Below are 14114 nucleotides of genomic sequence, written 5' to 3'. Positions count from 1 at the left end.
GATCTGGTGTTGCCCCACTGAGTGAGGTGATTGTCCCATGCTACAAAGCAGGGCAGGCCAGGGGCTGCAGAGGCAGGATTCGAACCTGGGTCACATGAGGCTAAACTTGAGGCTTCGCCTCTTCTTTCCTCCGTGGCACTGGTTGCCCCCATGTCTGCCTCTATGAGAAAGTGGAGGTGAGCTTGGAGAGGGAGGAAGGGTGTGGGCCTGGGAGCTGGAGTTTCCGCTGCTCCTGAGGGACAGGAACATTGGACCAGGACAGGCCACTCCCTTCAACTTCGCAGTAGCCCTGTAACGAGGCGTGCCAAGCCCCTCCCCAGAGGAGGAAGCTGGGCTCAGAGACTGGGTAACCTGACCGAAGGCCCACAGCCAACAGCTGGCAGCATCCCTCATCCCTGACTCGGCCTCCTGTTGAACCTGGAAAGCCAGTGTGGGCTGGAGCAGGGGTGTTGAGGCTGGAGCTGGGGCTGGAGGGGAGATGAGCTGGTTGCTCTGTCACCACTGCTCTGCTTTGTAGGGACGTCGTGCAGGAGGCCACAAAGGTGCTGAGGAATGCTGCCGGCAACTTCTACATCAACGACAAGTCCACTGGCTCGATAGTGGGCCAGCAGCCCTTTGGGGGGGCCCGAGCCTCTGGTGAGTGGGTCCCCCTTCCCACAGGGGAGCTGAGTTCCTGGTGGGAGACCCTAGATGTTACGTCTCGAGGGGCTTCAGAGTAATAGGAAGGATACCATTTACTGAGCACTTATTGTGGGCCAAGCAAGTGCACTAGCTCAGGGTCCTTTCAGCAAACTCGTGAGCAAAGGGACTATTCTTCCCATTTTACAGAGGAGGAAACTGAGGCTCAAGGCCACATGACCCTGGTGGGATTGTAATTTTGGCTCCAGCAGCCGCACTTTCTGCACCATAGCCAGTGTCCCTTAAGTCCAACAACCTCTACTTCACAATGGGGAACTGAGGCTCAGGAGGAGCAATGGCTTGCCAAAGGTGACTGCTCCTGAGTGGCAGAGCCAGGGCTGAACCCAGGCGTGCTGGGGTTTCCCACACCGACCAGTTCTCCAGCTCTTGATGGATGCTGGCTGGGTGTCCTACAGTTTAACTTGATGCTCACTGCCTGGGGTTAGTGCAGACCCCACAGGTTAAGAACTCAGTCCCGTAAGACTGACCCCCCAACTTCAGATGCCAATCACAAGTACTGGGACCCCAGGTTACCCACACCTTGTCTGACTTTGCGACGCATTAGAAGCTCCCATGATGCCCTCTTGAGTTTTGATACGTTGTTAGAACAGCTCACGGAACCGAGGGGAAGCGTGCTTACTATTACCCATGTATTGCAGAGGGTATTTTAAAGGATACAGATGAACAGCCAGATGCGCAGACACATAGGGCAAAGACTGGAAGGGTCCCCGGCAGGGGCACCGCCGTCCCCCTGGAGTTCGGGCTGTGCCACCCCCTTGGCATGTGGACGTGTTCACCAATCTGGAAGCTCTCCCGACCCTGTCCTTTTAGGTTTTTATGGAGGCTGCATTACACAGGCACGATTGATTCAATCATTGGCCATTGGGGTCGACTCAACCTCCAGCCCCTCTGCCCTCCCTGGGGCTGAAGGTTCCAAGCCTCTAATCACAGGGTTGGTTCCTTTGCCAATCAGTGCCATCCTGCAAGAGCCCTCATTAGCATAAACTCATGTGTGATTAGAAGGGGCTTGTTATGAATAACGGAAGACACTCCTTTCACCCCCATCACTCTGGAAATTCCAAGAGCTTTAGGAATTCTGGCTAGGAACCAGGGGTGAAGGCTAGATATGTACCTCTTATGGCACCCCAGGACCATGCCAAGTCCCTGCCTCTCAGTCTAGTGTTCTCTCCACGCCACACCCTGCCTCTTAGACATCCTCGCATCCCAGCAAGGATGCAAGGCTGGGTGCGACTGGAGAGAACAATGGAGGCTCCCCACAGACTGGAGACTGGAGGCAGGGTCTCCTGTCCATCCCTCTGGCTCTTCTGCATGCCCCAAGCTTGGCAGCAGGCTCGCTGCTGGCCGCTACACTGCTGGTCCGTTGATTCCATCATCTCCTCCCTTCCCCTTCTGCCCAGGCTGTTGCATCTTTTCAGAGAAAAACAGAAGTGTCTTTTCCGCAGGAACCAATGACAAGCCAGGGGGCCCACACTACATCCTGCGCTGGACGTCGCCGCAGGTCATCAAGGAGACACATAAGCCCCTGGGGGACTGGAGCTACGCGTACATGCAGTGAGCCCCTCTCGGGCTCCACCGTCCAGCTGTCTGTCCGTCCAGGTGGCCGACCTCACTGCACAGACCCCACTCCAGCCCCTCCACCCCTTCTTCATGCACAGCTGCCTTTCTATAATCCGGGCTTGACTCCCTTCTTACCACTGTATTCTGGCCTCTCCCATGCCTCAGGCTCTGGTTTGAGATCGTGCTGGGGAGGAACATGGCCACTACCCCTTATCCCATCGGCCATGTGGGAGGTATGACCCTGGTGCCTGGCAGGTTCTCCCTCTGCCCTCCACTGGGCCCAGTGGCTCAGGGACCTGGGGAAAGGAGATGGAGCAGCTCTTGGGATCCTTTGGGGAAAAGGAGGCCATTCTGGGCCCCTTGGCAAACCTCACCACTCACAGAGGCTCCTGGCCTTGATCCCTGCCCCTCCAGGTGTCCAGGGTAAAGTGTAACTCAGACTGACCTGTGGGGCACAGGGGGCACCAGCTGGCCTTGCCCTCTCTGGTCTGGGCTGTCTACCTTCCTCACTGTATCTTTGCCCAGACCCACCTGGGCCAGTAGGCCCCTGTCCCCAGCCACACACCTTAGATGCTGGCATGCCTTACTCCAGGTGCCTGTGTTTGGCCGAGGCCTGTGTGATTCCCGGTCTGCACCACATGGCGGGGTTGGGGGGCCGCTGGAGGCCACCTGCCAAGGCGTGGGATGGGATGGTCCTGCCGGTTTAGGCCGTGATTCTGGAAAACCTTGGATGGGCCTTCGTCCTATGTCAGCCTTCCCTTTGATCCTCAGGCCCTACCTGTAGAGACCTCCACTCCTAGAGCCAGTCTCAGGGTCTGGGATTTCCCTGCAGGAGCTCAGCCACCACTGTGCCATGGTGACACAGGCCAAGGCAGACATTGGCCCTCCCTTCTCCCAGCCCCCAGAGGCCTGGCCTTGGGTTCGTCAGCATGGGCCGAGGACGTTGCCTGTAGAATCCTCCTCTGCCTGGGAGTGGCTCTGTGTGGACCAGTCCCTCACTGGCCCATTCTTTTTTTGACGCAGCCAATCTGTGACCACGATTCCTCCCACAGATGCCTCCTGCTTGGATTCTGAGTGGTCAGAGATCTGTAAAGCATGACTTTCAAGGATGGTTCTTAGGGGACTGTGAAAGTGTTGGGTCTTCCTCCAGGATGCCTGCATGGGACCCCACCCGGAGCTGGTGTGGCCATTCCCCAAGTGCCACTGGCCCATGGATGGGGGTGGGTGCTGGTGCCAGCTGGGCTGGGTGTGGGTTCTGTGTCCTTCCAGGATATGTGTCATTTCCCATGAGGGGCCGGGGCAGGTGGCTGGGTGGGGGCACAGGCTGGAGTATTCTTAGTTCTACTGGTTCTACACTGTGAGGTGGCAATGGGATTTGCTCAGATGCCACCCAATAAAATGCCTGTTACTTAATCACAGTGGTGGATGGTCTTTCTGGAGGGGATGGTGGGGGCAGCCAACATCTTTTAAGTCTGGTGTCATTGCCAATGTGTCACCTGGTCATGGGCACAGTGCTCTCAGTGTGACAGAAGGAACAGTAGGTGCTGATGTTTGAAATTGTCTGTTGGAGGCGGTGGGGCTGGGTTCACATCCTGGCTCACTGCCCCCCCGCCAGCCAGATGATTGCCACAAAGTTATGCAACCTCTCTGACCTTCCATCTCTTCATCCATAAGATGGGGTAACCGCCCCCTCTCCCCGCCATGGGTCATCATGAGAATTGAATGAGTTAACACTTCCACATGCTTAGAATAGTGCCAGACACATGATGATTCAAAAATATTACCCATAAGGCCGGGTGCGGTGGCTCACGCCCGTAACCCCAGCACTTTGGGAGGCCGAGATAGGCGGATCACTTGAAGCCTGGAGTTTGAGACCTGGCTGGCCAACATGGTGAAACCCCATCTCTACTAAAAATAAAAAAATTAACCAGGCATGGCAGCATGCACCTGTAATCCCAGCTACTTGGGGAGGCTGAGACAGGAGAATCTCTTGAACCTGGAAAGCAGAGGTTGCAGTGAGCTGAGATCACGCCACTGTACTCCAGCCTGGGTGACAAAGTGAGACTCTGCCTCAAAAAAAAAAAAAAAAAATACCCGTTACCCATTTTCGTTGTAAGAACCACTATCCTGTGTGGTGATGGTTAATTTTATGTGTCACTTTGGCTGGGCATGGTGCCCAGGTATTTGGTCAAACATTCTGGGTGTTTCTGTGAAGGTGTATTTGGATGAGATTAACATTTAAATCAGTGGAGTTTTAAAAGTAAAAAGCAAGGCAGGTGACCGTTCATCCTGTGGGTGGGCGTGGTCTAATCAGCTGAAGGTCTTCATAAAGTGAAGAATGAGCTCTCCACGCGGGAAGGAATTCTGCCAGCAGATTCCCCTTGCACTGAATCGCTGCAGCTCTTCCTTGGGCCTCCAGCCTGCTGGGCTGCCATGCAGATTTTGGACTTAGTAAGCCTCCATAATCACATGAGCAAATTCTTAAAACCTCTCTCTTGCTCCTGTTCTGTGTCTCTGGAGGATCCTGATGAATATGTGTGCTGAAGGCCCAGTATGTTTCCTTACAACAGCCTTTGGAAGGAATTCTGCCACCCTCCCATTTTGGAGAGAAGGAAATTTAGGTACAGAGGTCAGGGGCCTTCCTGGGGGTATGGTATTGCTGAGACGTAAACCCTGGTCTGTTGGGGAAGGATTCGTTCCTGGTACAGCCACAAGAAGGCACATATGACTGCTGTCTTGGAAAGACACGCTCAGCTGGCCAAACGATGACTGAGAGGAGCCACTGCAGCCAGTTAGCTTGAGCCCAGGTCTGTGGGCCCTAGCCCATGCAGGCCAGGTGACTTGTGGAGGGGTGGAAACATGTGACCTGGCCTGTTCCCACCTGCCCATGATGTAAAAGGGGCTGTTTTGTAAACCACACTGACACCTCCAGGGACAATAGGCAATACCCAGAGTGCCCCAGGCTGGAGCACAGAAGGGAAGGGTGGCAACTGCATTTATAGTCGTGGGACCAGCAGGCTGTGGATGTGTTTGAACCATTGGTGTGACTTGCTTAAGATCACACTGAGACAGAGTTGGCTAATTACTAAATGCTTTACCTACCTGGTCACTTAGAGCCTTGGCAGTGACCTTACCAGGTAACTGTGGCAGGACCCACAGAGGTCAGAGGTGGGATAACTAGCTCAAGCTCACGCAGCTGGTTAGGAGGAAGGCTCGGGCTTGCACCCGGGTCTGCAGCTGCCCACGGCCCACGCTCTTCGCCACCTGCTCCATTGGGCTCCTGACTTCCAAGCTCCTCCTCTCCTAATATTATTTTATCCAACCTTCCTCAACCTGTCACCTTTGCCTCCTTTTGGACTAGGGGTGACTCAAAGCTGTTGCTTACCCTGTTCTCTCTCCTCTACCTCGTCCCCTAGACTTGGGGCTGGTGGCTCTTGAGGGCCCAGTGCCTGCTCGGGGACCTGAGGCCTCTTTGCATGGTCACCACAATAAGTCCCTGTGTCTGCGGTGGCCCAAGGAGCCCCTTCATTTCCCTGCTGTGGCCAGGGCCAGGGCTTGGAGCGTGAACCATTTGACTGAGGCCGGATGTCCCTGCCACCACTGTCCCACGGGCCGCCAGTGGAGCATGCCCTCTAAGGAAATGAGGGGCCACCTGTGCTGGCTGCAGGCCACCAGGCTGACCCAGAGCTCCTGGCGGGGGGAGTCAGGGGAAGTGGCAGGAGGCAGACCCACCCTCTCCAGAGAGTCTTCATTTTCACTAGTTCGTCCCCGACCCATTCATCGTCTTACTTCCTGGGTGTTCTGTTTAGGGGCCAGATTAGTAAATAACAAGAGCCACCATTGTTTGAATGCAGGCTGTGTGCCAGGCATTGGGCTAAATGCTTCGGGCATCATGGCCTCGGATCCTCATGGAAGTCTCATAAAGTAGGTGCTGTTACTCCCATTTTACAAAGGAGGAAACTGACACCAATGGGTTAAGTAACTAACATGCCAGTAGGAAATGAACAAACTGGGTTTTAGTCCCACACCTCTGACTCCCAAGCCCCTGGCCATAACCACCACTGCACAGTGCCCTGGAGCTGGACAGGCGCTGGGCTCAGATCCCAACCTTAGCGTCTTGTTCCTGTGCCTTGACCTCCCAGCTTCAGACTCCTCCAGGAGCTGAGGACCAAATGAAATATTTAAAAACAAAACGCTGCATCCCATGGCCTGCCAGGGTGAGGTGCCCAATCAATGTGAACTTTTAATTTTCAACCTCAACACTTCTTCATCCTAGATATGTGTGTTCCCCAGGAAAGAGGAGAAGCCAGATTTAAATGAGCACCTATCAATAGGCCAATCGTTCCTACAAATTCTCTTGGACCACACCGGCCTGTGAGATAGTATTTTAGCACCATTTCACAGATGAGGACTGAGGCTTAAAGAGGTGAAGAGAGACCTGCTTAGTAAGGGACGGGGGCAAGAGAAGAACTTGTTTCTGATGAACATACCAGCAACCCCTTGTCATTGTCCCTCACAGGAATCCATCCTTCCGGGTGTTCTGTGCATGGGTGGGAGGAGGCACTGCTGCTGTCATGGCTCTGAACACAACCAGCCAGCCTTGTCCTGTGTCCGGGGGGCTGCCAGCCCCCCTGGATGACGGAGCAGGTACCACATGCCCCTCAGGCACCCAAGGTAAAGCAGAAGGCTGTTCCAGGCCTCTGCCATGCTTTCCCTCAGCCCTATGTGCCCAGGCAGTTGCCCTCATCCCCGAAGCATCTGGTCCATAGAGGTTGGAGGGAGCTGACGTTCAGTTGGGCACCTGCTCCAGGATGTGCATCGGGGCAGGCGTCGCTGGAGGGAGAGTGAGCCTCAGCGAGGGAAATGCCCGGAAGAGGCCACACAGCAAGTGGCAGAGCCAGAATTGGAACCCCAGTGAGTCAGATTAGAGTGTTAGTCGACAGCCATAGAGTCACAGACCCCAGCCTTTTACTAGGGCTAAAATTGAGGGTCCCGGCCAGGCGTGCTGGCTCACGCCTGTAACCCCAGCACTTTGGGAAGCTGAGGCGGGAGGATCACTTGAGGTCGAGAGTTCGAGACCAGCCTGGCCAACACGGTGAAACCCCGTGTCTACTAAAAATACAAAAATTAACCGGATGTGGTGGTGAGCACCTGTAATCCCAGCTACACAGGAGGCTGAGGCAGGAGAATCTCTTGAACCCGGGAGACAGAGGTTGCAGTGATCTGAGATTGTGCCATTGCACTCCAGCCGGGGTGACAGAGTAAGACTCCGTCTCAAAAATAAAAATTAAAAAAAATTGAGGGTCCCTTGCCAGTACCATGCCAGGCACAAAGCCATCGGCACTGGAGGGCATCATTTATTGGTGATCATTTACTAAGCAGGTGCTTGATATATTAACCTCATTTAATCACCATTTGAGGGTGCCTGTGGCCGTTTTACAGGTGGGGAAGCTTCGAGGAGTCAAAGCCTGCTTGTTGTCCCCTGTCCCTTGGGCCAGGCTGGGGCCTCAGGAGCCCCACAGAACAGGACCACTCCCTTGTCCTCATCCCAGCCCTTTATTTTCCATCAAGAGCTCCCTGAGCCTCTTCCTTCCCAGGCTGAACATCTTTTATTCCTTCAGCTACTCTCTGTGGGATGTAGTTTCTGGATCTTTGTCTACCTAGTGAGCTGCTCTGGTGATGCCAGGGAGTAGAGTCTGGAATCATCCTGAACTGGGATCCAGGCTGTGTGACATTGGCTGAATCACATCCCCTCTCTGGGCCTCAGTCTACTCTGCTGTCAAATGGGGACATAATGTTGATAGTACTCATCCCTTACAATTGTTAGGAGGACTGAATGGTCTGAAATGTGAAAACAGATTTTGTGCTGGGCCTGGTGGCCAGGAACAGGTCAGTCAACATGAGCCAGTACTGTTAAGGTCATGCACCCGTGTGAGGTCTGATCACAACATCACACGGCAGGACGATCACCTCTCTTGTTCTGGACAATCTGCTCCTTTGGCTATAACCTTAAATTTCACTTGGCTTACACGAATACAGTGGAAAGATTAAGAACTCTGGAGTGCAATGAAAGTGGATTCAGGCCGGGCGCGGTGGTTCTTGCCGTAATCCCAGTGCTTTGGGAGGCCGAGGAGGGAGATCACTTGAGGACAGGAATTTCAGACCAGCCTGGGCAACGTAGTGAGACCCGACTTCTACCAAAAAAAAAAAAAAAAAAAAAGAGAAGTTTAAAAATTAGCCAGGAATGCTGGCATGTGACTGTGCTCCCAGCTACTTGAGAGGCTGAGGCAAGAGATCTCTTGAGCCCGGAAGGTTGAAGCTACAGTGAGCCATGATCACGCCACTGCACTCCAGCTTGGGCAACAGAGCAAGAGAGCAAGATCTTTCTCTTAAAAAAAAAAAAGTCAATTCCCAGGGACTTTGGACAAGCCACTTAACCTCCTGAGCCCTGGTTTCTTCATCTGTACAATGGTGATACAAAATCCTTCACGGAGTTCTGGAGAGCAGATGCGGTGATGTTTGAAAGCATTGCAGAGGCTCCATAAAAGCTGCTTCCTTTCCTTTAGGCTTTAGTCATTATTACCCTTTTGGCTCTTATTGAGCTTGTGGTCATTTGAGACCTCCAGCTCTTTTTCTGGTTGAGAGGCAAACTGCTCACCGTCACTCAGCAAAGTTTGGTGAGGAGGCTTGAGTGGATCCCTGGGTGCGAAAGAGTATCCCAACCACAGCAGAGTCCCTTCCTGAGGTCTTAGCCGATCCCTGGCTTCCCAACTTTAGGAGCCCACACCACTCCACTCCTTGGACTTCTTGTTTCAGAGGGGTCGGATGAGGAGTGCCGATGAGGCTGGGCCCTCTGAGAACTGGCTTTGAGGCCTTCCCAGCAACCCTCCTCCGAGGTGCTTCTGAACCAAGTGGGTTGGCTTAGGAACTGCCCATCTCCCAGAACTTTCTTGGGGTGGCCCTGCATGCCCACCCTCTCCCCATCATAAGCCAGACTGGAGGTGGGTTTCTAGCGGCCCAGTTTTGTCCTGGAGTATGGAGTGCTGGTGAGAAAGAGGGAGAGAGAATGGTGGGTGGGGAAGGAGGAGACAGGAGTGAATGGAGAGATATGCAAGTAGAGAGACAGAGACAGATCAGAGGGTGGGGCAGGGGCAGCAGCTGATGTATCCCCCAGTCCCTAGGGTCAGGATCCTCTTGGGGGCTCCCCCTGTGCCCCATCCTCCATCCAACCGCAGGGCAGGGGGAGGAAGGACGTTCAGGGCAGTCCCTTCCAGCCGACATGCCCATTTCCTTTCCCTGCACCTCAGGGGAAGCAGATGCCAAGGCAAATGGGCAGCTCCTGGCTGGCTGTTTCCATGGCTCACCCCTCTCTCCTTCCCCCGTGGACTTTGCATAAGTCTGTCATGGCTGTTGGTCACCTTGGCAGCCACACAGGTATGAGCATGGGGACGGCAGGCCCTGGACCAGGCGGTGAGGGTGATGGCTGGGGCTGGCCTGCGCTGTGTCCAGCCACGCGGGGGCATGTGCTGTGTGTGTGGCACTGAAGGAGAATCCCAGTGACATTCCCAGGCATTCCCATAGCATTCCCAGGCATCTGTCCTCAGGGAAGCCAGTGCTCTGGATGGTGTCCGCTTGCCCCTCCTAGATAAACGTCAGGGCCTGAGGGGACCTTGCAGATCATCTCAGTCCAGAGTTCTCAGATGAGCCTCAAGGGCTGGCAATGCCCTGGATGTGGGTGCATGGCTGCATTTGTTGGGGGCGTGTTGGCATGCAGGGCTGTCGTCAGAATCTCAAAAGGATGCTCATCTCAAAACCATTAAGAAGCACTGAGTCCATTTTACAGATGGGAGGATGAGGCCCAGAGAATGGAAGTGACTTGTTCAAGGGCAGCATCGCAAGTTGGGGCAGAGCTGGACCAGGATTTTGGCTCTCTGTCCAGTGTGCCTTCAGATTTCGGTCTTCAGGGACATCATCTATCCATACTGGCAGCCCACTCTAAAAAAAGCTCTCCCTGTCAATGGGACCCCCATTATTTCTTCCTCGTTGGAGCCCCTGCATCTCTACCACTCCCATTAGCCCCCATTAGGGTGCTGGGTTGTTCCAATCCACATACTTGCTATGTGCTTTTGAATAAGTTACTGGTCCTCGCTGAACCTCAATTTCCTCTTCTGCAAAATGAGGACATAGTAGCACCTTAAAAGGTAGAATAGGCCAGGCGCAGTGGCTCACTCCTGTATTCCCAGCACTTTGAGAGGCCAAGGTGTGTGGATCACCTGAGGTCAGGAGTTTGAGACCAGCCTGACCAATATGGCGAAACCCCATCTCTCCTAAAAATACAAAAATCAGCCAGACATGGTGGCACATGCCTGTAATCCCAGCTACCCGGGAGGTTGAGGCATGGAAATCGCTTGAACCGGGAGGTGGGGGTTGCAGTGAGCCGAGATCGCGTCACTGCACTCCAGCCTGGGTGTCAGAGCAAGACTCCATCTCAAAAAAAAAAAAAAAAAAGAGGTAGAATAAAACAGAATGGCGGAGCATAACAAGGGCTCAGCGCAGCACCTGGTGGAGAGTGAGCACTCAAATCACGTTAACAACATAAATCACTCGTGCTCACTATCACCATCATTGTCCCATGTTTCAAGGCACAGACCCTGCCTTCCCCAAGGAGCTCTTGGCTGGTCGGTGCCTTCCTTCCTCTTTACTCTATCCCGGTGGCATCACACACCGTCCTGATGTACTTTTGATTGACTTTATTAGAGCAGAGGTCTCAAATCCCAGCCTTAGCCCCTTGTTCCTGAAAGAAATCTGCCTTTCTGGACTTGGTCCAGAAAGAACTTGGTCCTGAAAGTCAATATGCCTTTCTGGACTTGGGTGACTGCCCCTTTCCAGGCCTCAGTTTCCCTATCTGTATACTGGGTGGGTTTGTGGGTCTCCGTAGGCTCTCTCAGCTCTGACACAGTACATCACACTGCGGATGGGCCTGGTTCCCCGGTGTCTTCCAGTGTGCACTGCCCTCACCCGGGCCCTGGTTTCTGTCTCCGGATGGTAAACCCTGTCACACAGTGGGCTCAGCTGGTGCCCACTGGATAAACAGCTTGCTTAACCATTCTTGTTTTCTACCACCCTCCCCGTCCCAAACCCTGAGACTGGGGCTTTGGGCCGACTGACATGGAGGCAGATGAAGACAGTGCAAAGAGGGCAAAGAGGGCCTCCCCACTCTATAGATGAGGAAACTGAGACCCAGAGAAGGGAGAGTCAGGCCCAGAGCCCACACGTCCCAACACCCCACGCAAGGTGCTTCCTTTTGTTTTATGAGTCCCCACCTCCCATCCAGTGGTTTACCCAAAGAGGGGCAGGGACAGGCCCTGATCACACAGCCAATTCTGCCTCTTCCTGCAGCACCAGGAGGCCTCCCCATCTTGACTTAAAGGCCCACAGGATGGCCCTGCCCCAGGGGTGGTCAGGGGCAGGGAGGGGCGTGCCCTGAGATCAGGGCTACATCCTGGGCTTCCCAGTTAACTTAGATGCTCTCTCTCTCTCTCTGGCATACCCCCACCCCTAAGCTTTGCCAAATAATGTGCCTTTTCTAGAAGTCTTCAGGACATCCCAGTGCCTCCTGGCCTCTTTATTCCCCAATTCAGAACTGACATGTGCAGTCATATGTGCCTTCTTGTGGCTGTACCAGGAACGAATCCTTCCCCAACAGCTGGGGTGGGACCTGAGTTGAGGGAGGGCAGGGCCATCCCAGAACCCCCATGGCAGGAGGTGCAGTGACAGCTTCTGTAGGCAGAACACACTTAGCACAGGGGCTAAGAGCTTGGGCAGCGTGGATTTACATTCTGGCTTCACCACCTAGTAGCTTTGTGACTTCTGGAAAGTTGCTTAGCCTCTTTGAGCCTCAGTTTCCTCATCTTCAAAATGGTAGTAAAAATGGCTACTTTGAAGGGGAGTTGTAAGAATTAAATGATAATGTATATAAAATGCTTGGCACAATGCCTGGTGTTTAATAGACTCTGGGTGGATTTAATACACACCAGGCGTGGTGATTTACACCTGTCATCCCAGCACTTTAGCAGGCAGAGGAGGGAGAACCTCTTGAGGCCAGGAGTTCATGACCATTCTGGGCAACATAAAGAGACTCCATCTCTACAAAAAATTAAAAAAACTTAGCTGGGTGTGGTGGCACGTGCCTGTAGCCCTAGCTACTCAGGAGGCTGAGGTGGGAGGATCACTTGAGCCCAGAAGGTCAAGACTGCAGTGAGTTTTCATCATGCCACTGCACTCCAGCCTGGGTGACAGAGTGAGACCCTGTCTCTAAAAAACAGAAACAATACATCACACTCTGGGAAAGGCGCTATTTGTTGTTACAACCCACTCATAAACCCCTAGGTATTTGGCAGGGCGGGCGTCTATGGTCTCGGAGGCCCCTAGAATGCCACCCCAGGAAGATCCTCCAGGGACCCAGACCCAAGGAGGCCAGTGTGGCTGTGGTTTGTGGCACGTGGTGCAGGAGAGACCAGGCTGGAAAGGCCAGGAAAGGGAGGATGAGTGAGCTGGGGCTGGGCTGGGGAGGCCTCAAATGCCAGGACAAGGAGCTCAGACTTGATCCAGCTGGTGACGGGGAGCCCCGGCGGGTATTAGAGCAGAGGAGTGATTAGCTGACAGCTGTGGTTTGGGGTTTTAAACAGTCAGTGTGGGGCAGATGGAGAGGTGCAGAAAGGGGGTGATGAGGGTCTGCGGGGGTTGTGGCGTGGAAAGTGGGAGGGCATGGAGAGAACCCATGGGGCAGTGGTGACGGGTCAGTGCTGGGGTTTTGGGCCAGCTGACATGGAGGCAGACACGGGCAGTGCAAAGAGGGGCTCCCCACTGTACAGATGAGGGGACTGAGACCCAGAGAGAGGAGAGTCAGGCCCAGAACCCACACCTCCAAACACCCCTTGCAGGGCGCTTCCTTTTATTTTATGAGTCCCCACCTCCAATCCACTGGTTTACACAGGCCCAGAGAGGGGCAGGGACAAGCCCAGATCACACAGCCAATTCTGCCTCTTCCTGCAGCACCAGGAGGCCTCCCCTTGTTGGCTTACAGGCCCACGGGATGACCCCGTCCCAGGAGAGGTCAGGGGCAGGGGAGGAGGCGCCACTTCGGCTCTGCAGTAGCTAAAGACATCCAACATCCTTCAGGGTAACTTCGAGAGGCTTTGGGACACAAAGGGGCAATTTCAGCTGGTCATGGAGCCCACGGTGCCCCCTGCGGCAGTTGATTTCGTTGTAAAAAGAAACAACCTCGCACTTTGGCAAACTCACCTTTCTCCAAGCCTGCTCCACACCCCCCAGTTTTATTTAACTTAATTCCCACACCAAGTCCATGAGGCTGAAATTGTTATCCTTGTTTCAACGGGGAAGAAACAGAGCCTCAGAGAGATTAAGGAACCTGCCCATGCTCATCCAGCAAACAGCTGATGTCAAATCCAGGTGGGTCCACGTCACGTGGTTTCAAGGGTCCTCAAGTAGAGTGGACACACGCAGCAGGATCCGGTTAACGGTGTAAGGCTGGTAGCCAGTGCCCAGCGATGACGCAGACAGGAGGCTTGTTGCTGCTCAGAGCCGGGGAGGTTCCCTTGAACTGGGGGCAGGAGTGGTTCCTAGGAGGAGGAGAAGCTCAGACTGGGCCCTGAAGGAGGAGCAGGGCTTGGCTGGGGTGGGGCAGGAGAGAGCATGTTTTTATTTGTTTTTATTTTTTATTTTTTGAGATGGAGTCTCACTCTGTAGCCCAAGCTGGAGTGCAGTGGCATGACCTCAGCTCACTGCAACCTCTGCCTCCTAGGCTCAAGCGATTCTCGATTCTTGTGCCTCAGCCT

The 14114-nt window shown here is 54.1% G+C and overlaps 1 protein-coding gene across 4 annotated transcripts in view; it reads left to right on the top strand.

Annotated features, from left to right (window-relative positions):
- ALDH4A1 (aldehyde dehydrogenase 4 family member A1) overlaps positions 1-3669 on the top strand; it is a 31126-nt gene extending 27457 nt beyond the window's left edge. For 3 of the 4 annotated variants that reach the window (NM_001319218.2, NM_003748.4, NM_001161504.2), the window contains 2 exons: positions 518-636; positions 2142-3669. In NM_001319218.2, coding sequence (NP_001306147.1) covers positions 518-636; positions 2142-2254 — 232 coding nt within the window. In that variant the 3' untranslated portion in view covers positions 2255-3669. The remainder of the gene's footprint in view (positions 1-517; positions 637-2141) is intronic. The other variant, NM_170726.3, reaches the window with a different exon arrangement.

The sequence above is a fragment of the Homo sapiens genome, chromosome 1 (genome assembly GCF_000001405.40).
Source record: "Homo sapiens chromosome 1, GRCh38.p14 Primary Assembly".
In the NCBI taxonomy this organism is placed as follows: Eukaryota; Metazoa; Chordata; class Mammalia; order Primates; family Hominidae; genus Homo; species Homo sapiens.
The sequence above is the reverse complement of the archived record's forward strand: the minus strand, read 5'-3'. Positions and strand labels throughout refer to the sequence as shown.